At 55.5% G+C, this 25,920-nt stretch overlaps 2 protein-coding genes across 12 annotated transcripts in view, besides 12 other annotated features; one reads left to right on the forward strand and one right to left on the reverse strand.

Moving 5' to 3' along the window:
- On the reverse strand, positions 24-15,328 carry TRAPPC6A (trafficking protein particle complex subunit 6A). 6 transcript variants are annotated; one of them, NM_001270891.2, is made up of 6 exons: positions 15,226-15,328; positions 2,218-2,285; positions 1,944-2,061; positions 1,255-1,338; positions 1,007-1,100; positions 24-314 (listed from the first exon to the last, which is right to left on the reverse strand). In NM_001270891.2, exons 1-6 carry the CDS (start codon positions 15,307-15,309, stop codon positions 283-285), a joined length of 480 nt encoding a protein of 159 aa, NP_001257820.1. In that variant the 5' UTR covers positions 15,310-15,328; the 3' UTR covers positions 24-282. The 6 variants fall into 6 exon arrangements, with proteins under 6 accessions (NP_001257820.1, NP_077013.1, NP_001257822.1 ...); NM_024108.3 differs by having other exon boundaries at positions 15,184-15,328; NM_001270893.2 differs by lacking the exon at positions 2,218-2,285.
- Positions 1,011-1,190: an enhancer, noted in NCBI's record as "active region_14787". NCBI's record gives its function as "activates an Ori minimal core promoter by ATAC-STARR-seq in GM12878 lymphoblastoid cells {active_cell/tissue: GM12878}" and the evidence as "EXISTENCE:reporter gene assay evidence [ECO:0000049][PMID:35858748]".
- Positions 14,706-15,649: an enhancer, noted in NCBI's record as "H3K27ac-H3K4me1 hESC enhancer chr19:45680873-45681816 (GRCh37/hg19 assembly coordinates)". NCBI's record gives its function as "activates a minimal SCP1, AML or CMV promoter by ChIP-STARR-seq in primed H9 embryonic stem cells {active_cell/tissue: H9 hESC(primed)}" and the evidence as "EXISTENCE:reporter gene assay evidence [ECO:0000049][PMID:30033119]".
- Positions 15,082-15,301: a silencer, noted in NCBI's record as "silent region_10756". NCBI's record gives its function as "represses an Ori minimal core promoter by ATAC-STARR-seq in GM12878 lymphoblastoid cells {active_cell/tissue: GM12878}" and the evidence as "EXISTENCE:reporter gene assay evidence [ECO:0000049][PMID:35858748]".
- Positions 15,662-15,731: an enhancer, noted in NCBI's record as "active region_14788". NCBI's record gives its function as "activates an Ori minimal core promoter by ATAC-STARR-seq in GM12878 lymphoblastoid cells {active_cell/tissue: GM12878}" and the evidence as "EXISTENCE:reporter gene assay evidence [ECO:0000049][PMID:35858748]".
- Positions 15,802-16,121: an enhancer, noted in NCBI's record as "active region_14789". NCBI's record gives its function as "activates an Ori minimal core promoter by ATAC-STARR-seq in GM12878 lymphoblastoid cells {active_cell/tissue: GM12878}" and the evidence as "EXISTENCE:reporter gene assay evidence [ECO:0000049][PMID:35858748]".
- Positions 15,875-25,920, forward strand: part of BLOC1S3 (biogenesis of lysosomal organelles complex 1 subunit 3) — a 38,300-nt gene continuing 28,254 nt past the window's right edge. For 3 of the 6 annotated variants that reach the window (XR_007066811.1, XR_007066812.1, XR_001753683.2), the window contains exons 1-3: positions 15,875-17,033; positions 24,422-24,532; positions 24,678-24,831. Coding sequence is in view for 1 of the 6 variants with exons in the window: in NM_212550.5 (NP_997715.1) it covers positions 16,388-16,996 (609 nt within the window). In the remaining 5 variants the exon portion in view is untranslated. Of the gene's footprint in view, positions 18,892-24,421; positions 24,533-24,677; positions 24,832-25,920 lie in introns of those variants that run through there. The other 3 variants (XR_007066810.1, XR_007066813.1, NM_212550.5) reach the window with 3 other exon arrangements.
- Positions 16,472-16,781: a silencer, noted in NCBI's record as "silent region_10757". NCBI's record gives its function as "represses an Ori minimal core promoter by ATAC-STARR-seq in GM12878 lymphoblastoid cells {active_cell/tissue: GM12878}" and the evidence as "EXISTENCE:reporter gene assay evidence [ECO:0000049][PMID:35858748]".
- Positions 16,472-17,162: a biological region, named in NCBI's record as "H3K27ac hESC enhancer GRCh37_chr19:45682829-45683329".
- Positions 16,662-17,162: an enhancer, noted in NCBI's record as "H3K27ac hESC enhancer chr19:45682829-45683329 (GRCh37/hg19 assembly coordinates)". NCBI's record gives its function as "activates a minimal SCP1, AML or CMV promoter by ChIP-STARR-seq in naive H9 embryonic stem cells {active_cell/tissue: H9 hESC(naive)}" and the evidence as "EXISTENCE:reporter gene assay evidence [ECO:0000049][PMID:30033119]".
- Positions 17,588-18,089: an enhancer, noted in NCBI's record as "H3K4me1 hESC enhancer chr19:45683755-45684256 (GRCh37/hg19 assembly coordinates)". NCBI's record gives its function as "activates a minimal SCP1, AML or CMV promoter by ChIP-STARR-seq in naive H9 embryonic stem cells {active_cell/tissue: H9 hESC(naive)}" and the evidence as "EXISTENCE:reporter gene assay evidence [ECO:0000049][PMID:30033119]".
- Positions 23,862-24,156: a silencer, noted in NCBI's record as "tiled region #2997; K562 Repressive non-DNase unmatched - State 23:Low". NCBI's record gives its function as "represses a minimal TATA promoter and a strong SV40 promoter by Sharpr-MPRA in K562 cells {active_cell/tissue: K562}" and the evidence as "EXISTENCE:reporter gene assay evidence [ECO:0000049][PMID:27701403]".
- Positions 24,488-24,577: an enhancer, noted in NCBI's record as "active region_14790". NCBI's record gives its function as "activates an Ori minimal core promoter by ATAC-STARR-seq in GM12878 lymphoblastoid cells {active_cell/tissue: GM12878}" and the evidence as "EXISTENCE:reporter gene assay evidence [ECO:0000049][PMID:35858748]".
- Positions 24,668-24,717: a silencer, noted in NCBI's record as "silent region_10758". NCBI's record gives its function as "represses an Ori minimal core promoter by ATAC-STARR-seq in GM12878 lymphoblastoid cells {active_cell/tissue: GM12878}" and the evidence as "EXISTENCE:reporter gene assay evidence [ECO:0000049][PMID:35858748]".

Here is a 25,920-nt window from a genome sequence, read left to right on the forward strand (position 1 = left end):
CTCCCCCACTGCTCTGAGTCAGATTCCACACACACAGCCTTTATTGAGCAGCTACTGGGCAGTGACGCTGCCGAGGCGGGAATCCCACCACAGTCCTGACCGCAGCTGGGACCCCTTTGCCTCCTCTGACACCCCCACCTCAATTTGATACCCACTTCCTGAGCAAATGTGACCCCTAGGGCCTGGGATTCCCAAGACCACCCCGAAATGCAGCGGCCCCACCGTCTCCTGAGGCCGGTGAGGCCAGGGGCAGCAGTGCGGCTCAGCAGGTGCGAGGCAGGCTTAGGATTTCGGAATCACCACCTGGAACTTACCTGGAAGAGAAGGCCTGGCTTAGGCTTGAGGATGGGATGGGGGAGGCAGAGGGCACCTGGACGGCTCTTAGGCGCTCACCCCCGTCCTGCACTGACACCCCAGTGGCTAGGTTGGGCTGTTTCCTCCCGCCCACGGGGCCGCATCCCTGAGCTGTGTGAGTAACCAGGAGCATGAGGGCCACGGATGTGGCCCCAGGGAAGCGCCCGGCACGGGCTTCTGTGGTATGCATTGCTCGGTCCTACCCCACGGGGGCCCCGGGGGCCCCCATGAGTGGGCCTGGGGAACCGGCAGAGGCAAAATAACTGAAGGTGGGGGAGGTGGTGGGGCAGGCTGTCCCCAGGCAGGAATGGGGCTCCAGCTTGTCTGACAGAGGACACCCAGTCAGGCAGGCTGCAAGTTCCCTGGAGCCTGCCGTCGCCCCCATCGAAGGATCAGTGAGGATAACTTCTATTGCGTCCACCTCGGCTCCCATGCTGGGAAACGATGTTCAAAACCGCCAGACAGTTCTCTCTGCAGGGCTGGCGACGTCACGGAGCCAGGGGCACAGATGGGCCTGCACCAGCCGTGTGGCTGAGCAGGTGACTTAAAACTGGGCCTGCCTCCCAGGCACACACACAGGAGTGGGGCTGGAACTCTGAAGCCCCCAGCAACTCAAGGGATGAGAAGAATCCCCCCACCCCCCATGACTCACAGACGGGCAGGGCTGCCACGGAGGCGGTGACCACGCTCTCAATGCCCAGGGTATAGAGGGCGCCGCGCAGGAGGCCGCAGGTGAAGGCCAGGAACTGAGGAGGGAACACAGACCAGCATGGGAAGAGAGGGGAGGCCAGCACCCGAGGTCTGGGGCACCCCTTAGGCCTGGGGAAAGGCCTGATGTGGGATGGGGCTGGGTAAACAGGAGGAAGGGAGGTGTGGACAAGGCCCCAGCTCCCCCCATACCTTGGGTGCTTCCTCCAGATACTGCAGGCCAGAGGCCATCGGGAGGAGGAGGGGGAAGCTGTTGTCTTGCAGGACGTAGGTCCCCTGGGGGAGAGGAGAGGCTGGTGGGTGGGGTCGGGGCCTGTACATTTGAAGCGCAGGGAGGGTAAGCAGGAACCCAGGTCTTAGATTGGGCTGAGGTTGGGAAGGCCCCCTTCCTGAGAACCACTGGAGTCACAGCCTTGGCCTCCAGTGCTCTGGTAGGGCCCAGGGCTTCCAAACTTGGAGTGGGTGCCTGTGCCCTGGGGAGTGTGGGTCCTGCCCTCGCCTCCCAGGGTTGTGCAGAAAAGCTGGGGACCCGGCCCAGGAAGATGCAGAAGGGCAGGTACAGCCTGGGTGTCACTGGGGGACTAGACCAGCTTGGGACAAGCAGCATCACACTGGGGGTAGGGCAGGCAGCCACCAGGGGCTTTCTGCCCATGCATGGCTCACTCCTGGTAGGCTGGAGAAGTTCCGGAAACACCCCCTATGCCCCAGCGCAGCCTCCTGGCTTCCCTTAGAGGATCAGACAGAGCAAGAGCTGCGGCCGCCTGTGGGAAAGCTCTGGGCGGGTCCCGGCAGCCGCTGCTCTGGCGCCGGGGGATTCCCCTCCCACTCTCTTGGTCTTGCCCTCAGGAGGAAGCTGGACGGGCAGGCCGGGGTGCTCCCACCTGGTGATTGGTGCGCAGGCTGTCCATCTGCTTCTGGAACACCGCCACCCACAGGTCTTTGCACAAGAACTTGAGGACATCCAGCTCCTCCCTGAAGGCCAGCGTCTCCCGGGGCAGCCTGGTGGGGCAGTACCAAGCTGAGGCCGTGGGGCCAGGCCAGGAAGAGGGAGGAAGACAGGCCCGACTCCTGCATGGAGCAATGCAACCCTCCCCGCCCGGGGCCTGCCCAGCCCTGCCAGCCAGGCTGGGGGAGAGCAGGAGGGGCCGCGCTCACCTCTCGCCTAGAGCCTGGCCCACACGGAACCCCATACCCTCCAGGACCGACAGGCTCATCTTCTGTCCCTAGAAGGCCAGGGGAGAGATGCTCAGGGGCCCTTAGCCACCACGAACCCGGGGCCACCCAGGGGGGGACCTGCCAGGGGACCCAAAGACCAACTTGCTGGTGCTCGTCAGTTCAGGGGTGAGCAGGGAGGGGCTCTGGCACAGCCCGGCCAGGGCAGGGGCAGGCCTCTAGGGTGCTGGGGCTCCCTCACCCACCTCTGCAGACCTTGCAGGCTCTCTGGATCCCCAGATCATCAGCCCCCAAGAACCAGCTCCCCCTTCCCTCAGGAACAATGGGGGTCTTCCCCAGGCTCCCTTCCTCCTCCATGACTTTTCCTGATAACCCCCATGACAGGCTGCACGTGCTTTCAGCGCGAACCCTCACAATGCCCTGGGAAGTGGGCGCTGCGACTCCACCAAGATGCTCCAGGTGACCTGCCCAAGGGCTGGAGGCTGGGCCACAGGAAAGGGGGCTGTGGAAGTCAACCATGATCATCATGCCTTATAATATTGGCCAAGATCCCTGGGGAACACGTGGAAGCTCGGGACAGGCAGATCTTCGTTTGGGTGCTCGAAAAGGACAGTGGCTGCCATGTAGTGTCTGGAGGGTAGGCCAGGGTCCATACAGGAGGGGACTGTGCTGGCAGAGGCAGGCCCCAGGTAGGAGGGCTGCACTCGGTGTCTGTCCACGTGCCTGTGTGTGTGGAGGGCATGGCTGGAGGAGAGGAGATGCTCATGGATTTTTTTTTTTTTAAGAGATGGAGTCTAGCTTCATTGCCCAGGCTGGAATGCAGTGGCCCAATCTCTGACTCACTGCAACCTCCGCCTCCCGGGTTCTAGCAATTCTCCTGCCTCAGCCTCCAGAGTAGCTGGGACTACAGGGATACGCCACCACACCCTACTAATTTTTTGTATTTCATTAGAGACAGGGTTTCACTGTGTTGCCCAGGCTGGTCTCGAACTCCTCAGCTCAGGCAATCTGCCCGCCTCGGCCTTCCAAAGTGCTGGGATTACAGGCGTGAGCCACCGCGCCTGGCGAGTTTTCTTTTTTGGAGACAGAGTCTCACTCTGTTGCCTAGGTAGAGTGCAGTGGTGCAATGCTGGCTCACTGCAACCTCCGCCTCCCGGGTTCAAACAATTCTCCTGCCTCAGCCTCCCGAGTAGCTGGGATTACAGGCCTGTGTGCCACCACACCCGGCTAATTTTTGTATTTTTGGTAGAGATGGGGTTTCACCATGTTGGCCAGGCTGGTCTCAAACTCCTAGCCTCAAGTGATCCGCCCGCCTTGGCCTCCCAAAGTGCTGGGATTACAGGCAAAAGCCACTGCACCTGGCCATGGATCTTTTTTTTTTTTTTTTTCATTCGGGTGTTTTGCTGCAAGCAGAGGAAGGGAGGAGGCCCAGACTGGGGGGCACCAGAAATCCCAGGACGGCTGGGGCGTGAGGCGCCAGGTTTTTCAGAGAAAGCCTGGCAGAGCAGAAGTGGGGGAACAGAGGCGGCAGGTGTGCAGCCCTGAGCTGAAGGAAGCTCACCCTCCCGCTGGCTGCTCTCAGGAGCCTGCAGTCACCAGGCCTGAGCCCTGCAGCCCTCCCTCTCCTGCCCTTGACCCCCACCTTCCCTTGGGAATGGCAGCTACCGCCTCCTCCCTCCAGGGCTGCACCATCAGCGCAGCCATCCGAATGGGGATGCGAATTCTCTGCTTGGCTCCAGCCCTGGAGCGGGTCTCCCAGCCTGGAGAGCGTGTCCGAGGAAGGCTTCTTGCAGCCTGCGGGCCCAGCTGCCTCCATCCCTCCCTCACCCTCTCCTCTGCCCCCTGAGGACATTCGCTCAGACTTCTGAGCCTTTGTACCGACTTCCTTCCCTTCCTCCCTCCCAGCTTGCGTCCCCAGCCCTGCCCACTGCACACTGTCCCTGGATGAGGACACAGCTCTGTGAAGGTGGGGACCCAGGCTGACCAATTCACATCCGGCCTTCAGCAGCCAACACAGAGCTTGGCATGTGGGTGGTGCTTAACAGACTGGCTGATGAGACAACGTGCATCAACAAAGGACACCGTAAGTCCTTACCTAATGCTGTCAACAGGCTCTTGGAAACTATGGCTTTAAGCAAAATGACATATGATGAAACCAATTTCACGCAGGTTAATTAACATAAACAAGAGTGAAGTTCCAATGCCATATTTCTGGTACAAACACATCACCAAACTTCTAAATAAGGATGAAAACACTTGAAATATTAAACACTGAAATAAATGTGAGCTATACATACGTTTAAGAAAGATTAGGCCGGGCGCAGTGGCTCACTCCTGTAATTCCAGCACTTTGGGAGGTCGGAGTTTCGCTCTTGTTGCCCAGGCTGGAGTGCAACGGCGCGATCTCAGCTCACCACAACCTCTGCCTCCCGGGTTCAAGTGAATCTCCTGCCTCAGCCTCCCCAGTAGCTGGGATTACAGGCATGAGCCACCACGCCCGGTTAATTTTGTATTTTTAGTAGAGACAGGGTTTCTTCTCTTTTGGCCAGGCGGGTCTCGAACTCCCAACCTCAGGTGATCTGCCCACCTCGGCCTCCCAAAGTGCTGGGATTACAGGCGTGGGCCATCGCGCCCAGCTGAGTCCAGGAGTTCGAGTCCAGCCTGGTCGACATGGCGAAACCCCTTCTCTACAAAAAATACAAAAGTTAGCCAGGTGTGGTGGCATGCACCCGTGTCCCAGCTACTTGGGAAGCTGAGGCAGGAGGATCATCTGAGCCCAGGAGGTCGCTACTGCAGTGAGCCATGATCATGCCACTGTACTGCAGCCCAGGCAACAGCAAGACCCTGTCTTTTTTTTTTTTTTTTTTTTTTTTTTTGAGACAGAGTCTCGCCCTGTCGCCCAGGCTGGAGTGCAGTGGCGCAATCTCGGCTCACTGCAAGCTCCGCCTCCCGGGTTCACGCCATTCTCCTGCCTCAGCCTCCTGAGTAGCTGGCACTATAGGCACCCGCCACCACGCCCAGCTAATTTTTTTGTATTTTTAGCAGGGACGGGGTTTCACCATGTTAGCCAGGATGGTCTTGATCTCCTGACCTCGTGATTCACCCACCTCGGCCTCCCAAAGTGCTGGGATTATAGGCGTGAGCCACCGCGCCCGGCCCTGACCCTGTCTTAAAAAATAAATAAAAAACAAAAAACCAGTAAGACATTTACTCGCTTCCTCCAGCTCAGGGTCCTGGGTGGCCAGAGCCCGTCCTGGCAGGGCCAAAAGCAGGAATGGACCCTGGACAGAACGCCATCCCATCACAGGGCGCACACGGGCCCACACTCACTCACACTGGGCCCACGGAGACCCGGGAGCTCACCCAGCGGACACATCCCAAGGATGCACAAGGAAAGGAGAGCCCAGAGGAACTTGCACCAGCACAGGGAGAACCCACAACCACCACCCAGACAATGGTCCCGGGAATCATTATTTTTTCCTCATCAATGTCACAACAAAATGTTATTCCAGGACCGGCATACTGTGTGGCAGGCGTTTTCTACAGCCTTCTTGTTTTACCTTTCCAGCCTCACAGAAGGCTGTAATTCCAGGTGGAAACAGGGGCTCTGAGGTTAAGAAGAACCCATCCAAGGCACCCTCAGCACGGGACTGTCTTTCACACCCCAGCAGGTCCAGATAGGAGGGTGGGTGGGGTGACAGCCATGGCTGTTGAGGGCCTCACGGAGGTGAGGAGCGCTGGGAATGGCGGGGGGGCCTGAGCTGAGGTCGCCCATATCTGAAGCCAAGGTGGCCCTTCCTCTGCCTGGCCCCTTGCCAGGCCTCGCCCTCATGGGTGACAACGACACGGCTTCCTGTTGCACTGTCTCCCTCTGGTGTCACCATCTGCTTTCCTCCAGTGTCCTCAGGCACAGCAGGGCCGGCCACACAGCAGAGGCTCATGGAAGGGGCCGATGACTGCAGGAGACGGGCAGGTGTGTGTGAGAGACAGAGTGGGAAGAGACCCCTGCCCGTGGGTCCTTCATGGCAGCACTACCAGCGGCGCAGGTGCAGAGCCACCGCCTGGGTCCAGATCCGCCCCAGCACTTACCAGTGTGGGACCTGGGCCAATGGCTGAATACCTGTGCCTCAGTTTCCTCATGTAAAAAAGAGGGTCATTTTGTTTGTTTTTGAGATAGGGTCTCATTCTGTCACCCAGGCTGGAGTGCAATGGCACGATCTTGGCTCACTGCAGCCTCTACCTCCTGGGTTCAGGTGATCCTCCTACCTCTGCCTCCCAAGTAGCTGGGACTACAGGTGTGAGCCACTGCGTCCAGCCCAAAGGAGGGGAATATTAATGGCAGCTACCTCCAGGATCCTCACAAGGAGTAAGGGTTGGTAAAGGCAACCTGAGTACTTCAAGGCAGTTCCGGGAGCCTTACTTATTGCATTCACAGCCTCCACATCTGTCAAACAAGGAGACGGCCCCAGCCAATGAGGGATGAAGCCCTTGGCTGGAGGAGAACCCCAGGAAGGAAGGGGGTCTGTTCTGTGGGCTCCTGTAGCCAGCACCTAGAACAGCCCGGGCGAGAGCTCGCTGCCTGGTAGCTGCGGCTCCCGTGTCACCTCCTCCCACAGCGAAGCTCCTGGAGGCAGGGCCCAGGCTGCACTCTGAGGGAACACGTCTGTGTCCACAGCAAAGCTCCCAGAGGCAGGGCCAGGCTGCACTCTGGTGGAACACGTCTGTGTCCCCACTCGCTAAGGGCTCCTTTATGTCCCTCCCTCATTCATGCCACAGACATTTCCTAGTGTCCTCCAGGAGCTCACCTACCTTGCCTGGCAGGGTTGACAGGTGCCCAAATGATGCCAACTGACAATCTGGGAAGGGCTGGGAGACTGAGTGCAAGGGGCCCGGGCAGTGCAGTGCAGAGCCTGCCCTCCAGGAGGGGGCCGGAGGTGGCAGGTATTCCAAGCAAAGGGCATGTGCCAAGGCAGGGGTGAGAGGCGGGGAAGGGAAGGGGCCCTCAGAGTGGGCTGCAGAGGGGGCATTTTCCCCTGCAGGCAAGTGCAGCCAACCTGAGGGTCAACGCAGGCCACGTTGCCTGAATGCCAGCCACAGTGGGCCACAGACTCAGTCCCTGCCCTGCTGGAGCTGGCGTTTCACCCGGGGAATGGGCAAAGGTGCAATGGCCGGCTTCACTATGCTCACAGCGACTGCCAAGAGGGAGGCAGGTGTGCTGCGAGGGTGCACTCCCACCCCTAGGAAGCACCCCGACTGTGCTGAGCCTGAGGGAAGAGGGGGAGTTCAACAGCAGGAGTGGGCTGTGAAGGCACACCAGGCCCAGGTCACAGCCAGGACGGCAGCCCCCGGAGGGGTGAGCTGGGGGAGAGAGTCAGCAGGGTCCTTCAGCCAGGCCAGGAGCGTGGAGTCTGAAGGGGTTCCAGCAAGTTCAGCTTTTCCCTTCATGAACTTCACACTGCCTGGGTTTGAATCTCGGCCCCGCCACTCACTGGCTCTGTGACCTTGGGCAGATTAGCCAACCATCCCGTGCCTCAGTTTCCCCACATGTGCCATGGGGCTAATGGCAGTACCTGCTCACAGTGGTGGTGTGACTGGCAGGTGGCAACAGCTGGATACACGGCTGTGTGACTGCTGGCCCCACTGTACCCAGCCCTGGACAGGGGCCATTCAGATCCTGGCTGAACTGAAAAGGGCTGTGGGGAATCACAGCAAAAGGGAGGGGCCGAGGAGGAGCAGGAGGCAGGGAAGAAAGGGCGGAGGAGGAAGGGAGAAGCCTCCACCCACCTCATCACAGCGAGACCTGGTGGTGTCCATGCCCATGTCACTGCAAAAGCTCTTCAGAGGTTAGGGGTTTATCTTTCTTAAAAACAGAAGGGGCTGGGCGCGGGGGCTCTTGCCTGTAATCCCAGCACTTTGGGAAGCCAAGGCGGGAGGATCACTTGAGGTTAGGAGTTTGAGACCAGCCTGGCCAACATGGCAAAACCCTGTCTCTACTGAAAATACAAAAATTAGCCGGGCGTGGTGGCGCACGCCTATAATCCCAGCTATTCAGGAGGCTGAGCCACCAGGATCGCTTGAACCCGGGAGGCAGAGGTTTCAGTGAGCTGAGATCACACCAACACATTCCAGCCTGGGTGACAGAGCGAGACTCAGTCACAAAACAAAACAAAACAAAACAAAACAAAACAAAACAGAAGGGCTGGCCAGACAGAGACTCTCCCATTCATATGAATCTGCCAGAGCCCAGCCCAGAGCCGGTGCATTTCTGGGGCTCCCCACGCCTGCCTCTGCTGAGTTTACACACAGACCGGATGAAAGGAAAGGTGGAAGGGAAGTCTTATCAGTGTCGGTGCTAATGACATCCACCACACAGGAAGGATCAATCAGACACAAAGCAGAGTTCCTGGAAATGAACAAATATGGTGGCCAAAATCAACACTTTTTAACAAGGGAACTGAATAACAGAGAAACCTGTAAGACAGATAACACCTCCCAGAAGAAAAACAGGAGGGAGGAAAAAATGAGAGAAAAGCTACAGGATGCTTGGAAGAGATGCAGGAAGTCTAATATTCCCTGTGGTGCCTACAGGACATACAGGGAACGATGCAGGAGAAGAAATCATCAGAGAGATCACAGGAGAAAAATGTCCTGAGCTAAAGGAAGATTCACACGTCCAGACTGAAGCCAAGGGGTTGAGCTCCAAGGAGGATGAACGGAAAAAGCAAACCAAAGCCCCTTTAGACACTTGGGAGCTCCTGGTCTCAGACAATGGGTGACAGCGCCTTAGCTCTTTACTACATGCACTCAGGGGAATCCTCTCTTTGCCCAAAGGCTTCCCTTGTCTTCAAAGCCTCTGAGGTAGAAAAGCCACGGCTGCTTCCTCCAAGGGCTTCTCCTCCTTAGAGAACAAAGGCCTTCCTGGCCCCTCTGGCCGGTCCTCCAGTTCACAACCTGTGACAGCCCAGGAGAATGGCCACAAATAACCACCGTACCAGGCAGGATAGGAGGTCACAAAAGCCCTACACACTGGCTGTGGCTCCTGGGCACCTGTGCTGTGGGGACAGAGATGAAGGAGCCACCATCCCTGTCCTCAAGGAGCTCTGAAGCTGGTGGGAAAGGCGGCCTGTGCTACCCAGAAGCCCTGGGGCCAGAAGCCTGAGTTCTAATTTTGCCTTTAAGAGAACATTCTGCCCTGAACTGGGAGGGAGGCGGGTGGGGGCCATGTGCTCCACCCCTTCCTGTCTCTTGTGTCTGCCCTACCCCTCGATTGTTCTCTAGGCACCTGCTAGCTCCTGGGCAGAGGCTGACCCTGTTCAACGCCCACCTGCTGAGCCACTCTGTGCCAGGCCCAGGGGTGTGGTGGGGAACCCAGGGAAGGAGCAGCCCTGGTTAAGAAAAGCACACAGACAGAAGTGCTGGCACACAGATGGGTGAGTGAGGGGTGGGTGCGAGAAGCCTGCAGGACTTCCCTGCTGTTGCCCTCAACTCTCCTCCCTGGTCCAGCAAGGCATCCTGAGCAAGTCCAGATCCTGCCTCTGCCCACTCAGAACTCCCCATCCTGTCCCCTGGCCCAGCCCGGAAGGTTGAGCCCACCACAGCCTCTGCCTTAAGCTCCTGCAACAGCGGGGCCCTTCCCAGGCCAATCTCCATCCAGTCCATTCCTGTGGCCAGGGAGACATTTCTAGAATGTAAATCTGAGCCAGGCGCACCTCAGTTTAAACCCGGCTATGGCTCCCACTGCCTTCGGGATGGAGCCCCAGTTCCCAGGAGGGCCTCGCTGGAGCTCCCAGCCACAGATGCTCAGGACGGTGTTCCGGGCAGGGACCTATCTGACAGCCGCTCCGCCCGCCCCACACCCTCCTCAGATAAGGGGCTGCCCAAGTGCACTCTCGGGGTGTGGTGGATGGAGGCCTGGCGCAGCAGGGCTATTCTCGGGGCGCCTCGGGCCTGGTCTCAGACAATGGGTGACAGCGCCTTAGCTCTTTACTACATGCACTCAGGGGAATCCTCTCTTTGCCCAAAGGCTTCCCTTGTCTTCAAAGCCTCTGAGGTAGAAAAGCCACGGCTGCTTCCTCCAAGGGCTTCTCCTCCTTAGAGAACAAAGGCCTTCCTGGCCCCTCTGGCCGGTCCTCCAGTTCACAACCTGTGACAGCCCAGGAGAATGGCCACAAATAACCACCGTACCAGGCAGGATAGGAGGTCACAAAAGCCCTACACACTGGCTGTGGCTCCTGGGCACCTGTGCTGTGGGGACAGAGATGAAGGAGCCACCATCCCTGTCCTCAAGGAGCTCTGAAGCTGGTGGGAAAGGCGGCCTGCGCTACCCAGAAGCCCTGGGGCCAGAAGCCTGAGTTCTAATTTTGCCTTTGAGTCTTGCTGAACCACCTCGAAATCCCTTCCTCTACCAAGCACAGGGTCCCTCCTCTGTGAATCGGGAGGGCTGTCCTGAGGACTAAATGCAGTCAACACTGTGCAAGTACTGCACAGACGCCCTCAGGAAACGGGAGGCCTGTCTGGTTCAGAGGAACCCTTTTGGGCCAAAGAGAAGGAATGGAGAGAGGAGGTGGGGCCAATAAAGAGAAAGGACTGAGGAAGCCGTTTCTCATGACAGGCCCCCTGAAAAACGGGGCTCCCCAGGAGGAAGGAGTGAGGGGAAACGATGCAGTTCTCACCCCTAGCTGCAGCGAGAGCCACCTGGGAGCTTTCTGAGGCCTGACACTCAGGCCTCACCCCAACCGGGTTCGTCAGAGTCTCTGGTGTGGGACTCCAGCATCGGAATGTAGTGGCAGCTGGGTAGGGAACCCCTGCCCAAGGTCCCAGGCACATTCGTGTGCTCTGAAAGGCTGGTGGTGAGCAGAGCTGAGTAAGCCAGTTTCCCACACTCGCTTGACCACAGAAACCCATTAAAATCCTTCCCAGGGCAAATGCTGGGAAATGCAAGTGAGAGTTTACAGCACAGGCTTTGGAAGTGGGAGGCCTGGTCGCGCTCCTGACTCTGCCACTTGAGAGCAAGGAACTCCGTCCATCAAAGCCTCCGCCGCCTCATCTGTAAATCGGGGAGGACCATGCCAACCTCTCTGGGTCATCAGAAGATCAAATGAAATCAAGAGTGAGAAGCCATGAGTGCACACAGGAAGCACTCATATGAGGGGAGGGAGGGAAGAGCTAGCACTGCTCATAAGCCAAATGAATCCCAGTCCCCACCCATCCCCACCTGCCACGGCACAGGCTCTGCATTCACCTCCTCAACACGTCCACACTGAGGACCCACTACGAGCCAGGACATCCAGTGGTCATCAATACACACCCAGGCCCATCCCGCACAAAGTACACTCCGGCTGGGGGAGACGCATGTGAATTAAAGGATCATACAGATACACAATTCAGACGCATCCTGGCAGGGCGTGCTGGCTCACACCTGTAATCCCAGGTGTGAGTTTTTGGGAGGCTGAGGCCAGAGGATCGCTTGGGCCCAGGAGTTCAAGGTCAGCCTGGGCAACATTGTGAAAACCTATCTCTACAAAAAATTTAAAAATTAGCAGGGTATGGTTGTGTGCACCTGTACTCCTAGCTACTCAGGAGGCTGAGGTGGGAGGATCACTTGAGCCCAGGAGTGTGAGGCTACAGTGAACTATGATCATGCTACTGCACTCCGGCTTGGGTGACAGAGCAAGACTCTCTTTAAAAAAAAATCAGCCGGGCGTGGTGGCTCACGCCTGTAATCCCAGCACTTTGGGAGGCCGAGGTGGGCAGATCATGAGGTCAGGAGATCGAGACCATCCTGCCTAACACATTGAAACCCCGTCTCTACTAAAAATACAAAAAAAAAAAAAATTGCCAGGCGCGGTGGCTCACACCTGTAATCCCAGCACTTTGGGAGGCCAAGGCAGGCAGATCACAAGGTCAGGAGATCGAGACCATCATGGCTAACACAGTGAAACTCTGTCTCTACTAAAAATACAAAAAATTAGCCGGGCGTGGTGGCAGTCACCTGTAGTCCCAGCTACTCGGGAGGCTGAGGCAGAAGAATGGCGTGAACCCGGGAGGCAGAGCTTGCAGTGAGCCCAGATCGCGCCACTGCACTCCAGCCTGGGGGACAGACCGAGACTCTGTCTCAAAAAAAAAAAAAAAAATTAGCCGGGTGTGGTGTCGGGCACCTGTGGTTCCAGCTACTCGGGAGGCTGAGGCAGGAGAATGGCATGAACCCGGGAGGCGGAGCTTGCAGTGAGCCGAGATCGCGCCACTGCACTCCAGCCTGGGCGACAGAGCGAGACTCCGTCTCAAAAAAAAAAAAAAAATCAAATACATCCTTATTGAGTATGATGAAGCCTACCAAGAAAAAAGTGCGAGAGGGAGACCAGGAGAATGTATAAAGGAGATCCAAATTTGACTGGGGGCTCAGGGAAGGCATCCCTGAGGAAGGGATTGTTACGCTAAGATCTGAAGGATTAATAGTTGTTAGCATGGTGAAGATGTGACAGGTGGAATGGGCTGGGAGAAGGGAGCAGGCTCATTTCACAGGAGAGCGGAAAGCACTGGACCAGGGCAGAGGAGGGGCCACGTGAGAAAGGTATTTAGACTGACTGGGCAGAGCCTGGGGGAGGGCTGCAGGTGAGGGAGACAAGGCAGGTGTTGGGACTCCAGGGTTTCTCGTTTGAAAGCCAGGAAGGATATGGAGTGTTGGGACATTATTACCCACCCCCAGGCTGATGCATACTCCCTGGGCCATGCTGTATCTTCCTCATAGCAGTTACACAATGTACCAGACACTTTACTCATTTACTTGTCTGTCTCCTCCAATGATGACAAAGCTCCAAGAGTCCAAAAATTTTTGATGGTTCACTGAGTAATCCCCATGTTTTTTTAGAGACAGGGTCTCACTCTATCACCCAGGCTGGAGTGCAGTGGCATGATCATAGCTCACTGCAGCCTTGAACTCCTGGGCCCAGGCAATCCTCCCACCTCAGCCTCCCGAGTTCTTGGTAGTATAGGCATGTGTCATCACGCCCAGCTAATTTTAAAAATTTCTTGGCCAGGCACAGTGGCTCACACCTGTAATCCCAGCACTTTGGAAGCCCGAGGCGGGCAGATCACGAGGTCAGATCAAAACCATCCTGGCTAACATGGTGAAACCCCATCTCTACTAAAAATACAAAAAAAAAAAACAAAATTAGCCGGGTGTGGTGGCAGGCACCTGTAGTCCCAACTACTCAGGAGGCTGCGGCGGGAGAATTGCGTGAACCCAGGAGGCGGAGCTTGCAGTGAGCCAAGATTGCGCCACTGCACTCCAGCCTGGGCGACAGAGCAAGACTCTGTCTCAAAAATAAATAAATAAATAAAAATAAAAATTTCTTTTAGAGGTGAGGTCTTGCTATGTTGCCCAGGCTAGTCTTGAACGGTGGGCCTCAAGTGATCCTCCCACCTCTGCTTCCTGAGTACCTGGGATTACAGGTGCAAGTCGCCACATCTGGCTAAATGCATTTTTGATTTATGATGTTTTAAACTTATGACAGGTTTGTATCTGTATATCGAGATGGTAACAAGCAACATCCTCCCTGGGGCTTCTAACCCTGGAAGGAAACCAGAGCCAATAAAAATGTCTTACATGGCCAGGTGCGGTGGCTCACGCCTGTAATCCCAGCACTTTGGGAGGCCGAGGCGGGTGGATCACAAGGTCAGGAGTTCGACACCAGCCTGGCCAAAATGGTGAAACCCCGTATCTACTAAAAAAAAAAAAAAATTGGCCGGGTGCAGTGGCTCACGCCTGTAATCCTAGCACTTTGGGAGGCCAAGATGGGCAGATCACGAGGTCAGAAGATGGAGACCATCCTGGCTAACAGTGAAAACCCGTCTCTACTAAAAAAAATAATAATAATACAAAAAATTAGCCAGGTGTGGTGGCGCCAGCAGCGCTTGTGGTCCCAGCTACTTGGGAGGCTGAGAAGTGGGATGATCGCTTGAGCCCAGGAGGTCGAGGCAGCAGTGAGCCATGACTGCATCACTGCACTCCAGCCAGCCTGGGCGACCGAGCAGGATGCGCGTGCGCGCACACACACACACACACACACACACACAGTCCCGGGCCAGTCACGGTAGTTCACGCCTGTAATCCTAGCACTTTGGGAGGCCCAGGCGGGAGAATCACTTGAGCCTAGGGGTTCAAGACCAGCCTAGGCAACATGGCAAAACCCCATTATCTCTTTTTTTTTTTTCCTGAGACAAGTCTCGCTCTGTCGCCTAGGCTGGAGTGCAATGGCACAATCTTGGCTCACTGCAACCTCCGCCTCCCAGGTTCAAGCCATTCTCCTGTCTCAGCCTCCCGAGTAGCTGGGATTACAGGTACCCGCCATCATGCTCGGCTAATTTTTGTAGACACGGGGTTTCACCATGGCCAGGCTGGTCTTGAACTCCTGACCTCAGGTGATCCGACGGCCTCGGCCTCCCAAAGTGCTGGGAGCTACAGCGCCCAGCCGGCATATTTCATTTTATTATTTGACTCCCCTAGTGAAATGTAAGCTTCACAAGGAAGGGATTCTGTCTTAGAACGGTGCCTGGAATACAACAGACGCTCAATAAGTGGGTGTCGAATAAATAAATGTCCCACGCTGAGGCTTAGGTACGTTATGATACTCATTTTACAAAAGAGAAAACTAGGACACACAAAGATTAAGTCATTGGGTCGCACACCTAGTAAGTGGGGGAGGCGAGTCCTCAGCACACGCCCAATAACAGCATTATTATGATTACTAGCCGCTTACTCAGGCCTTGAGCTAAGTGCTTTACCCTGAATCATCGCGCTCAATTTAGCAATAACCCCGAGCCGGCACCGTCGCGAACGCCACTTTCCAAAGGAGGAAGCCAGGGCCAGACGTTGCCCTGCAAGGCCGGGGCTGGGCCGGGTTCGAACCCGGACGCCTGACGCGCCCTCCGCTCTCCCAGAGGCGTTACCTTGGTGGCCCCCGCTTCCTCCCCACGGAGCCCGGCGCTCACCCCCGGGCCGGGGTCGGGGTCGTGAGCCCACAGCTCAGCCACCATCTCCGTGTGAAGAAACTCAAACAACACAGTATCCGCCATGCCCCCTCCTCGCACGCCTAAAGATGCGCCCAGCGCTTCCAGCTCTCATTGGCCAGGCTTGGTAAGCCACGCCTCTTGCGTCATGGCGCGAGCCCTCCTACTCCGGCTTCCATTGGTGTTTTAGACTAGCCCCGCCTCCCCGCCCCGGACTCAGGTGGTGTGCGCGTGAGCCTGGGACACTAGGGGGCGGGCCTACGCCTTCTCTGGCCACATGTGGCAACATCTTCTGCTCTTACTGCCGTCCCTTCCCTATTTCCGGGTTCTCGAGCATTCCTATTGGCCAAATTACTGGTTACACGTGACATACTCGGCTTTTAAAATCCCTATTGGTCCACTCCAGACTTTCCTCGTCGCACAACCTGGAAGAGCCGGCCCAGCTGTTTCTCTATTGGCGGTTCCTCCATTCATGTGACTCTTCTGCACGCTCACTCAAAGCTGATGCTGAGAACTTGCTTCCTGATTGGTAGCCGGGCGAATCCACGTGACTTGGCCGCTAATGCCCGCCCAACCCGCTCCCCTATTGGTTGAAATCACAGCCCTTCAGCTGCCACGGTGAGAACGCAGCACTCGGGTTAGGAAGCGGATCTCGCAAGCTCCGAGCGTCAGCTGCCGGGTACGGTCTTTGGCGTTAGCGCTTCTCCCATCCCATGAGTGCCCCCAGCAGAGTCCAGTCGGACTGTCATCCTTTCTGCGACTCTGGCGCTGGTCCCGAGCAGCTCACGGGCCCGTGTGCTTCCGGGTCTGAGATTGGCATGGTGGACCAGGTGGAGGGTGTGGCCTCTACTAGGAGGCAAATTCGTAAAGACCTCGGCTTGGGACTCCGGGAACTCGGGCCCCAGATCCTTGTTCGAGCTGGTCTTCAGTTTCCCCATCTGTACGCTGAAGAGCCTGGGGTCCAGTAACCCCCATCATCACCCAGTTTACAGAAGAGGAAACTGAGGCCCAGACGGGGAGCAGCTGACACCAAGTCGTTAAGAGAATCAGCGAAGGGGCTGGGAATCCAGGACCTGCGCCTTTTACCCACCGCGGCGCCGGTCTCACGTGCAGTCCCTTCGCTCTTCTCCCCTAGTTCGGTGCCATGGCGTCCCAGGGTCGTCGGCGGAGGCCCCTGCGGAGGCCGGAGACGGTGGTGCCGGGGGAGGCGACCGAGACGGATTCCGAGCGCTCTGCGTCCTCGTCGGAGGAGGAGGAGCTGTACCTGGGTCCTTCGGGCCCGACGCGCGGCCGCCCCACGGGGCTGCGGGTGGCTGGGGAAGCCGCGGAGACCGACTCGGAGCCGGAGCCGGAGCCGGAACCGACGGCCGCGCCGAGGGACCTGCCTCCACTCGTGGTGCAGCGGGAATCGGCGGAGGAGGCCTGGGGCACGGAGGAGGCCCCGGCGCCCGCCCCCGCGCGCTCGCTCCTGCAACTTCGGCTGGCGGAGAGCCAGGCGCGGCTGGACCACGACGTGGCGGCCGCCGTGAGCGGTGTCTACCGCCGTGCAGGCCGCGACGTGGCCGCCCTGGCTAGTAGGCTGGCGGCAGCCCAGGCGGCGGGGCTGGCGGCGGCCCACAGCGTGCGCCTGGCGCGCGGGGACCTTTGTGCGCTGGCCGAGCGTCTGGACATCGTGGCTGGCTGCCGCCTGCTGCCGGACATCCGCGGCGTGCCAGGGACCGAGCCTGAGAAAGACCCGGGGCCGCGGGCCTAGCCATGATTCTACTTCCCAACCTGACTGCAATTTGGGGGTAGGCCTTGCTGCCTCTGGGACCTGACTCTGTCTCCTGTGTCTCTTATCACCCCCCACCCCCGCTCCCATCTTGGTGTCACCCATGGGGGCTAATCCGGTCCCCTTGGATAATGCTTTATATTGGATATAGTTCAACCCCTACTGCGGAGACCAGGGCCCCACTATCCTTAGATCTGGTTCCTCTCCCGATCCTGACCCTGCCGCCTGGTTCTGAGCCTTCCCCTGGGGCTTGGCTCCAGCCTTTGTTACATAGTTGCTCCTTAATCTGTTTCCACCCTGGGGGCTCACCAATTTTTTTTTTTTTTTTTTTTTTTTGGAGACAGGGTGTTTATCTGTCACCCAGGCTAGAGTGCAGTGGCGGGATTACTGCTCACTGCAACCTCGACCTCCTGGGCTCAAGTGATCCTCCCAGCTCAGCCTTCAAGAGTAGCTGGGACTGCAGACCTGCACCACCACGTCCAGCTGCCCGGTTAATTTTTTTCTGTCGGTTTGAAGAGGGGAGAAGGTCTCACTATGTTGCCCAGGCTTGTCTCAAACTCCCGGGCTCAAGCAATCCTCCCACTGTGGCGTCCCAAAGTGCTGGGGTTACAGGTGTGAGCCACCACACACTGGGCTCTGCTCTGCCTTTCTGAGTTTGGTTTCTGCTTATGGTGGGGAGCTTGTTCCCGTTCTTCCCACAAGAACCCAGGATGTGGCACAGCTTCCCTGCCGTCTTCCTTCACTCAGTTGGCTACGCCTCCCATCCTAGCTCCACTTCCAGAACTGCCTTCACCCTAGGCTGGGTCCTTGTTTTGTTTTTAGAGACAGGGTCTCACTGTGTCTCCCAGGCTGGAGTACAGTGGCGTGATCTCGGCTCACTGCCACCTCCACCTCCCGAGTTCAAGCGATTCTCCTGCCTCAGCCTCCCGAGTAGCTAGGATTACAGGCATGCACCACCACGCCTGGCTACTTTTTATATTTTTAGTAGAGATGAGGTTTCACCTTGTTGGCCAGGCTGGTCTCGAACTCCTGGCCTCAGGTGATCCACCCGCCTCACCTCCTAAAATGCTGGGATTACAGGCGTGGGCCACTGCGCCTAGCCAGCTGGGTCCTTGTTCTGCTGCCCAAGCTTGGCCCTGGTTCCGTGTGCTGGTTCTACTTTTTGTTCTCCCATCTGCCTCCTGCCTCCTCCCCTTTGAGCTTAGCCCCGCCCTCTCAGCCTGATTTCTGTTTCCCAAGTCCAGCAGTGTCGTGGGATAGGTTTTGCTTTCTTTTACTGTCTCCATCCTACTTACACCTCCCTGATCCTGGGGTCTGGGGACTCCCCATGGTTTCCTTCCTTCTGCAGGCCCAAAATGATGGCCCCTCTTAACCCAAGGCAGGGGATCTTCCTCCCAACTCCCTGGACCAAGGTGGCATTTCCTGCACACCCCTCCAGGCCAAGATGATGCTCGCTCTCAACTCTGTAGGCCAAGGTGGCGTCTCCTCTTGACTCTCCAGACCTAAAGTGACACCCTTCAGGCACTTCGGGCCCAATTCAGCCCAGTCCTGGTGCTTTCAGCGCCAGATGACAGCACTTTGCAGATAAGAACGATATGATGTGTGGATTTCACTACATTTGGCTCCTGGATGCTATAAAAGGACTTGGATTTCTGACTTGGCTCAGGGACTGGGGTTAGCAGTCTCTTTCTGCTCCTTTTCACCTGTGTTTTCTTCCGATCCCAGCTCTGGTCCCTCAGCCGCATTCATATTTACTCTCCTCTCCCAGCCTGATATCCCTGTCCCTCATCTCAACCCGAAGCCAAGATCTGAGCCCCCAAGATGGAGAATGGGGAGGAGCTTTTTATGGCGGACTGATTAAAACTCTTAAGCATTTACCCTTATGGTTAGTTCCTTTTGTTTCCCTATCTAAGCTAAGGGTGAGTTGGTTGATTTCTCTGAGAATGGGGGTCCCGAGACCTCCATGCCTGGCTTATGGAAGGTGAAGCTGTAGTTGGGAAATCAGGGGCCCTAGATTTTTGCCCTGGTTCTGTATTTACTCGTATTTTATTAATTCAACACACACGTTTTGGGTACCTGACCTGTGCTGCGGCTAGGGGTATAGCACCCAGTCCCTGCCCTCACAGAGGTCGCAGTCCAGTGGGAGAAACAGTAATAAGATGTTCTCATAGATAGTTCTAGTAATCATAATTTATAGTTTAATTTTTAAAAATAGAGATGATAGCCTGGCCAACATGGTGAAACCCTGTAGTTATTAAAAATACAAAAATTTTGGGCGATGTATCACGCCTGTAATCCTAGCACTTTGGGAGGCCGAGGCACGTGCTAGTAATTCCAGCTACTCAGGGAGCTGGGGCATGAGAATCGCTTGAACCCTGGAGGCAGAGGTTGAAGTGACCCAAGATCGTGCCACTGCACTCCAGCCCGAGCGACAGAGCAGGACTCTGTCTCAAAAATAAATAGGCCAGGCGCAGTTACGCATGTCTTTAATCCCAGCACTTTGGGAGATCGAGGTAGGCAGATCACCTGAGGTCAGGAGTTCTAGACCAGCCTGGCCAACATGGTGAAACTCTATCTCCACTAAAAATACATTAGCCAGGCGTGGTGGCACATGCCTGTAATCCCAGCTACTCGGGAGGCTGAGGCAGGAGAATCGCTTGAGCCCAGGAGGTGGAGGTTACAGTGAGCTGAGATCATGCCACTGCACTCCATCCTGGGTGAGAGTGAGACTCCATCTCAAAAATAAATAAAAAATAATTAATTTTAAAAAATAAAATAGAGACGAGCTCTCACAATGTTGCCCAAGTTGGTCTTGAACTTCTGAGCTCAAGGGATTCTCCTGTCTTGACCTCCCAAAGGGCTAGGATTACAGGCATGAGCCACTGCACCCAGCCATAATTTATAATTTAGATACAATTTTCTTGGCACCATGATTAGAGCCATGAAGAAGTAAAGGAGCTTTATGAAGGTGGAGCGGGATCCACCTGACCTAATCTGGGCGGGAGAGAGGAAGTGATGAGTGGTGCTGGAGCTGAGCCCGGAAGGTGGAAGTAGGTGAAATGGGAGTAGGGTGAAGAGTTGCAGACAGGGAGAACAGCATATGCGAGGGCCCTGAGGCAGAAGGGAAAGGGACCATAACCTGTTTAACAGAAGAAGATGATTTCTGCTCTCCACCTAGAATGGAGAAGTGTGGGGTGGTTGTGGGGCAGGGGGGTGCTGAGTGCAGTACCAGAAGGGGCCAGATAAAGGTGAGCTTTAAAAAAATTGTATTATTGGCTGTGCGCAGTGGCTCACGCCTGTAATTCCAGCACTTTGGGAGGTCGAGGCAGGCAGATCACCTGAAGTCAGGAGTTCGAGACCAGCCTGGCCAACGTGGTGAAACCCTGTCTCTACTGAAAATATAAAAATTAGGCATGGTGGCACATGCCTGTAATCCCAGCTACTCAGGAGGCTGAGGCAGGAGAATCGCTTGAACCCGGGAGGCAGCAGTTGCAGTGAGCCAAGATTGCGCCACTGCACTCCAGCCCAGGGGACAGAGCAAGACTCTGTCTCAAAAAAAAAAAAAAGTAGGTGCGGATCAACCAGCATCTCCTCCCTCCTGAGCACTCCCTCCAGCTCCCCTTCCACACCTAGGGCGAGTGGATCACAATTCAAAGAGGATGATCTCCCAGAACTTCCCTTTTCTTTTTCTTTTCTTTTCTTTTTTTTTTTTTTTTTTTTTGATATGGAGTCTCACTCTGTCGTTCAGGCTGGAGTGCAGTGGCGAGATCTCAGCTCACTGCAACCTCCACCTCCCAGGTTTAAGCAATTCTCCTGCTTCAGCCTCCTGAGTAGCTGGGATTATAGGCACGTGCCACCATGCCCAGCTAGTTTTTCTATTTTTTTTTCTTTTTAGTAGAGATGAGGTTTCACCATATTGGCCAGGCTGGTCTCAAACTCCTGACCTTGTGATCTGCCTGCCTCTGCCTCCCAAAGTGCTGGGATTACAGGCATGAGCCACCACACCTGGTCAGGACTTCCCTTTTCAATGAGTTTAGCGAGAGTCCCTGAGGAGCTGAGCTGCCTGGGAGAGTGGCAGCTTAGTGGTCTCATGGTGGACTTCCAGCCCTGGAGCACAGAGCTTCCCTCACTCCTTAAACTCCAGCTCACTAGCCAGGCCTGGCTTTCAGCCCCTTTCTTTCTTTTTCCCTCCCTCCTTCCTTCCTTCCTTTCTTTCGGTGGGGTCTCACTATTTTGCACAGGCTGGTCTTGAACTCCTGGCCTCAATGGATCTTCCCACCTTGGCATGGCAGGGATGGGAATCTGATTGGAGAGGGTACAAGAGGGTGTGGAAGGAGAGCCAGAGACCATCCTCTTTGCAATGTTGAGTGAAGGGGTGGGATGGTAAGAAATGGGGAAGTGGCAGTGCATGGTGGCTTACACCTGTAATCCCAGCAATTTGGGAAGCCAAGGTGAAAGCACTGATTGAGCCCAGGAGTTTGAGACCAGCCTGGGCAATATAGCGAGACCCCATCTCTACAAAAAATACAAAAACTAGCTGAGCGTGGTGGTGTGCGCCTGTGGTCCCAGCTACTCGTGAGGCTGAGATGGAAGAATCACTTGAGCCCAGGAGGTCGAGGCTGCAGTGAGCCATGATTGTGCCATTGCACTCGAGCCTGGGCAACAGAGTGAGACCTTGTCTCAAAATAAAAAAGGGGCCGGGCGTGGTGGCTCACGCCTGTAATCCCAGCACTTTGGGAGGCCGAGGTTGGTGGATCACGAGGTCAGGAGATCAAGACCATCCTGGCTAACATGGTGAAACCCCATCTGTACTAAAAATACAAAAAATTAGCTGGGCACGGTGGCGGGCACTTGTGGTCCAAGCTACTCGGGAGGCTGAGGCAGGAGAATGGCGTGAACCCGGGAGGTGGAGCGTGCGGTGAGCCAAGATAGCGCCACTGCAGTCTGGCCTGGGTGAAAGAGCGAGACTCTGTCTCAAACAAAAAAAAAAAAAAAAAAAAAAAAAAAAGGAAGGAAGGGAGGGAGGGAAGGAGGGACCGACTGGGGAAGTACCTAGATGGGGAAGATGGGAGGGGTCATGGCATGTTTGTATGCTGCTGGGAGTATTTCAGAAGAGGGAGAAGTCGTGATACAGGGGAAAGGTGGGAGAAAAGCCAGACCATTGTCCTGCAGTAGGTAAGAAGGGAGGAGGAGATAGCCCCCAAGGGGAAGGGCAACACTGGGGTAAGAGAGACTATTTGTGGCTAGTTGCAAGTCACTGGGTAGTGATGACCACTCTGGTCATCACTGCCTGGGAACTGGTCTGTCACCCCCACTGGACTGTTGGCCCCATGAGGACGGGGCTGAGGCTGTCTTGGCCAGGGCCAGCTAACCCAGGGAAACCACAGAGTAGATACTGGGCAAATTGTTTGTTGAATGAATGAATGGCCTTCACACCATCACACGGCATCAGCCTCTCAGATGCATGGAGCTGTTGAGACGTTCGGGCACAGCCTCCCTCCAAAGGTGATGGGCACTCGGTCCCACATAACACATCACCCTCAGATGTGCAGGATGAGAGGGTCAGACATGCACCAAAATGCTAATAACACCCACTCCACAAATATTTGCTAACCACATTTCAAGGGGAAAGGCATTCAAGGCAGAAAGAATAGCATGTGCAAAGAACCAGAGGCAGGAAAATCCTGGGGGTGCTTGTTTGGGCGAGATGAATTGTCTGTTGTGCATGGACTGCTATAGAGGGGCCTTTGGCAGGAGGGAGAGCTGAAGACTCAGTCAAGAGCCAGGCCACACAGGGCCAGAATGAGGAGCAGGGCTTTGTCCCAAGGGCCCTGGGGAGCCAAGGCAAGTTCCAAGCAGGAGAGAGGCAGGGACGAGTTTGTGCTTTAGCAAGAGATACCTAGATGGGTCAGGTGCGGTGGCTCATGCCTGTAATCCCAGGCCTTTGGAGGCCAAGGCAGATGGATCACCTGAGGTCAGAAGTTCGAAACCAGCCTGGCCAACATGGTGAAACCCCCGTCTCTACTGACAATACAAAAATCATTCTGGGCGTGGTGGTGTGCACCTGTAATTCCAGCTACTCAGGAGGCTGAGGCGGGAGAATCACTTAAACCTGGGAGGCGAACATTGCAGTGAGCCAAGATTGCGCCACTGCACTCCAGCCTGGGCAACACAGCAAGACTCTGTCTCAAAATAAAAAAAAAGAAACCTCTGGCTACTGAGTGGAGGGTGCATGGGAGGGGGTGAGACTGGGTCTGTCCTGGTCACTCTGTGTCCCCAGCACCACTAGCAAAGAGCAGGTGCACAGTAAACACATTTTGAATGAAGATATGAATGAAGGAAGTGGCAAACACTTGAATTATTGGACTTCTGTTGTCACTGAGAATAAAAGCCAAATCGTATATTATTATTATTATTATTTTAGAGATGGGATCTCACTACGTTGCTCAGGCTGGTCTTGAACTCCTGGGCTCAAGCAATCCTCCTACCTCGGCCTCCTAAAGTGAGCCACCATGCCCAGCCTGTAATCCCAGTACTTTGGGAGGCTGAGGCAGGCAGATCACCTGAGGTCAGTAGTTCGAAACCAGCCTGGCCAACACGGTGAAACCGTGTCTCTACTAAAAATACAAAAATTAGTCCAGTGTGGTGGCACGCACCTGTAATCCCAGCTACTCAGGAGGCTGAGGCAGAATGATCACTTGAACCTGGGACGTGGAGGTTGCAGTGAGCAGAGATCATGCAACTGCACTCCGGCCTGGGCGATAGAGTGAGACTCCGTCTCAACAACAACAACAAAAAAAAAGTGCTAGGGTTACAGGCATGAGCCACCACACCCAGCCTCAACACCACAGTCTTTACTGGGACATTGGAGGCCCTATGATCTGGTCCTGGGTCCATCTCGCTGAGCTCATAGACAACTGGCCACTTCACTGAGTAATACTGGACTCTGGGCTGTCCTCTAAGCTGCCAGACAGAGCCTTTGCAATTTTGTTTTTCTCTGGCACTCAGCTCTGTATGGGCAGTGCCTATAGCAACATTGTATAACAGGCAGTCAGCAGGCAGTCACTATTTGTTGACTTAATGAATGAATCCCCTGCAGCTCCACTGGAGAGGTCTGAACATCATCCTCATCAGTAGAAACCTGAGCTAGTTGGAGCAGGAGGCAAAGGAGATGGGTGGAGGCCAGGAGGACCAGGCTGGGAGAATTCCAGGATAGGGACTGGGGCAGGGGTCAGGGTCAGGGTCAGGGGCTGGAGCTGATGTCCAGCCAAGAGCAGAATCTAGAATGGAACTGGGACAGGGATGGGGGCTGGGGCCATGGGAGGGACAGGGCCAGGGGCTAGGGAGGGGACACGATTGGGGGCGACCTCGGTTAAGGGCCTGACTCCCCAACACCTCTCTTTCCAGAGCGGCTTCACAGCAGGACCACAGGAGTCATTGTGGCCAACTTCGCTGGAGGCTTGGAGATCTTTGGGGCCATTAAGGCAGAGCTGCAGGGCCTAGAGATTGAGATGCTGGGTATGTCCCCACACCTGCTTGGGGAGCCCCGCCAAGCTGCAGGCATCGCACACTGACCCAGGGCCCTTTGTGATCACCCTTCACCTGGCCCCATCTGGTCTCCTTGGGACTGTTGGGGTGACACAGCCTGTTCCCTCTCGCCCAGTGAACAATGTGGCATGCTGTATGCGCAGGGACGCTTGAGGAAGCTGCTCGACTGTGAGAATGTCGCCAGAGTGAAACAGAGTCCTAGCCCACCTGGCACCTCTTCCTCCAACTCTTTACTGCCCTCTGTTGGAAAACTCGCGTAATATACAAAGGTAAAGTCCTCACTTGGGTACCTGTGGGGGATTCCTTCCAGGACCCCCACTGATGCCCCAGACCCTAATACAAAATGGCCTAGTATGTGCACATAACCTATGCATACCCTCCCGTGCACTTTATTTTTTTTTAATTTTTTAATTTTTTGTGGGTACATAGTAGATGTATATATTTATGGGGTACATTATGAGATGTTTTGATACAGGCATGCAATATGTAACAATTACAACATAGAAAATGGGGTATCCACTCCCTCAAGCATTTACTCTATGTTACAATCCAATTACACATTTTTTTTTGAGAGAGAGCCTCACTCTGTCGCCCAGGCTGGAGTGCAGCAGCGTGATCTCAGCTCACTGCAACCTCTGCCTCCTGGGTTCAAGCAATTCTCCTGCCTCGGCCTCCCGAGTAGCTGGGATTACAAGTGTATGCCACTATGTCCGACTAATTTTTGTATTTTTAGTAGAGTCAAGGTTTCACCATGTTGGCCAGGCTGGTCTCGAACTCCCAACCTCAGGTGATCTGCCTGCCTCAGCCTCCCAGAGTGCTGGGATTATAGGCATGAGCCACCGCAACTGGTCAATTACACCCTTTTCGTTATTTTTTTTCTTTTTAATAGAGATAGTCTCTGCCATGTTGACCAGGCTTGTACAGAACTCTTGGCCTCAAGCAGTCCCCCATCTCAGCCTCCCAAAGTGCTGGGATTACAGGTGTGAGCCACAGCGCCCGGCTTCTTTTAGTTACTTTAAAATGTACAACTAGTCACCCGGATGTGCTGTCAAATAGTAGATCTTATTCATTCTTTCTAATTATTATTATTATTATTATTATTATTATTATTATTATTTGAGACAGAGTTTCACTCTTGTTGCCCAGGCTGGAGTGCAATGGTGCATTCTTGGCTCATTGCAACCTGTGACTCCCTTGTTCAAGCAATTCTCCTGCCTCAGCCTCCCAAGTAGCTGGGATTACAGGCACGCGCCCCCATGCCTGGCTAATTTTTTATATTTAGTAGAGACGGGGTTTCACCACGTTGGTCAGACTGGTCTCGAACTCCTGACCTCAGGTGATCCACCCACCTTGGCCTC

Source organism: Homo sapiens, chromosome 19 (assembly GCF_000001405.40).
Source record: "Homo sapiens chromosome 19, GRCh38.p14 Primary Assembly".
Lineage (NCBI taxonomy): Eukaryota > Metazoa > Chordata > Mammalia > Primates > Hominidae > Homo > Homo sapiens.

Bases quoted from the DNA above. Each gene is read 5' to 3' on its own strand.
- TRAPPC6A (NM_024108.3), bottom strand. From the start codon at position 15,309: ATGGCGGATACTGTGTTGTTTGAGTTTCTTCACACGGAGATGGTGGCT. The intron at 1,339-1,943 runs GTGGGAGCACCC...CCTCTCCCCCAG, and splicing joins GCCTGCGCACCAATCACCAG to GGGACCTACGTCCTGCAAGA. The intron at 1,101-1,254 runs GTATGGGGGGAG...TTCCCTCCTCAG, and splicing joins ATCTGGAGGAAGCACCCAAG to TTCCTGGCCTTCACCTGCGG.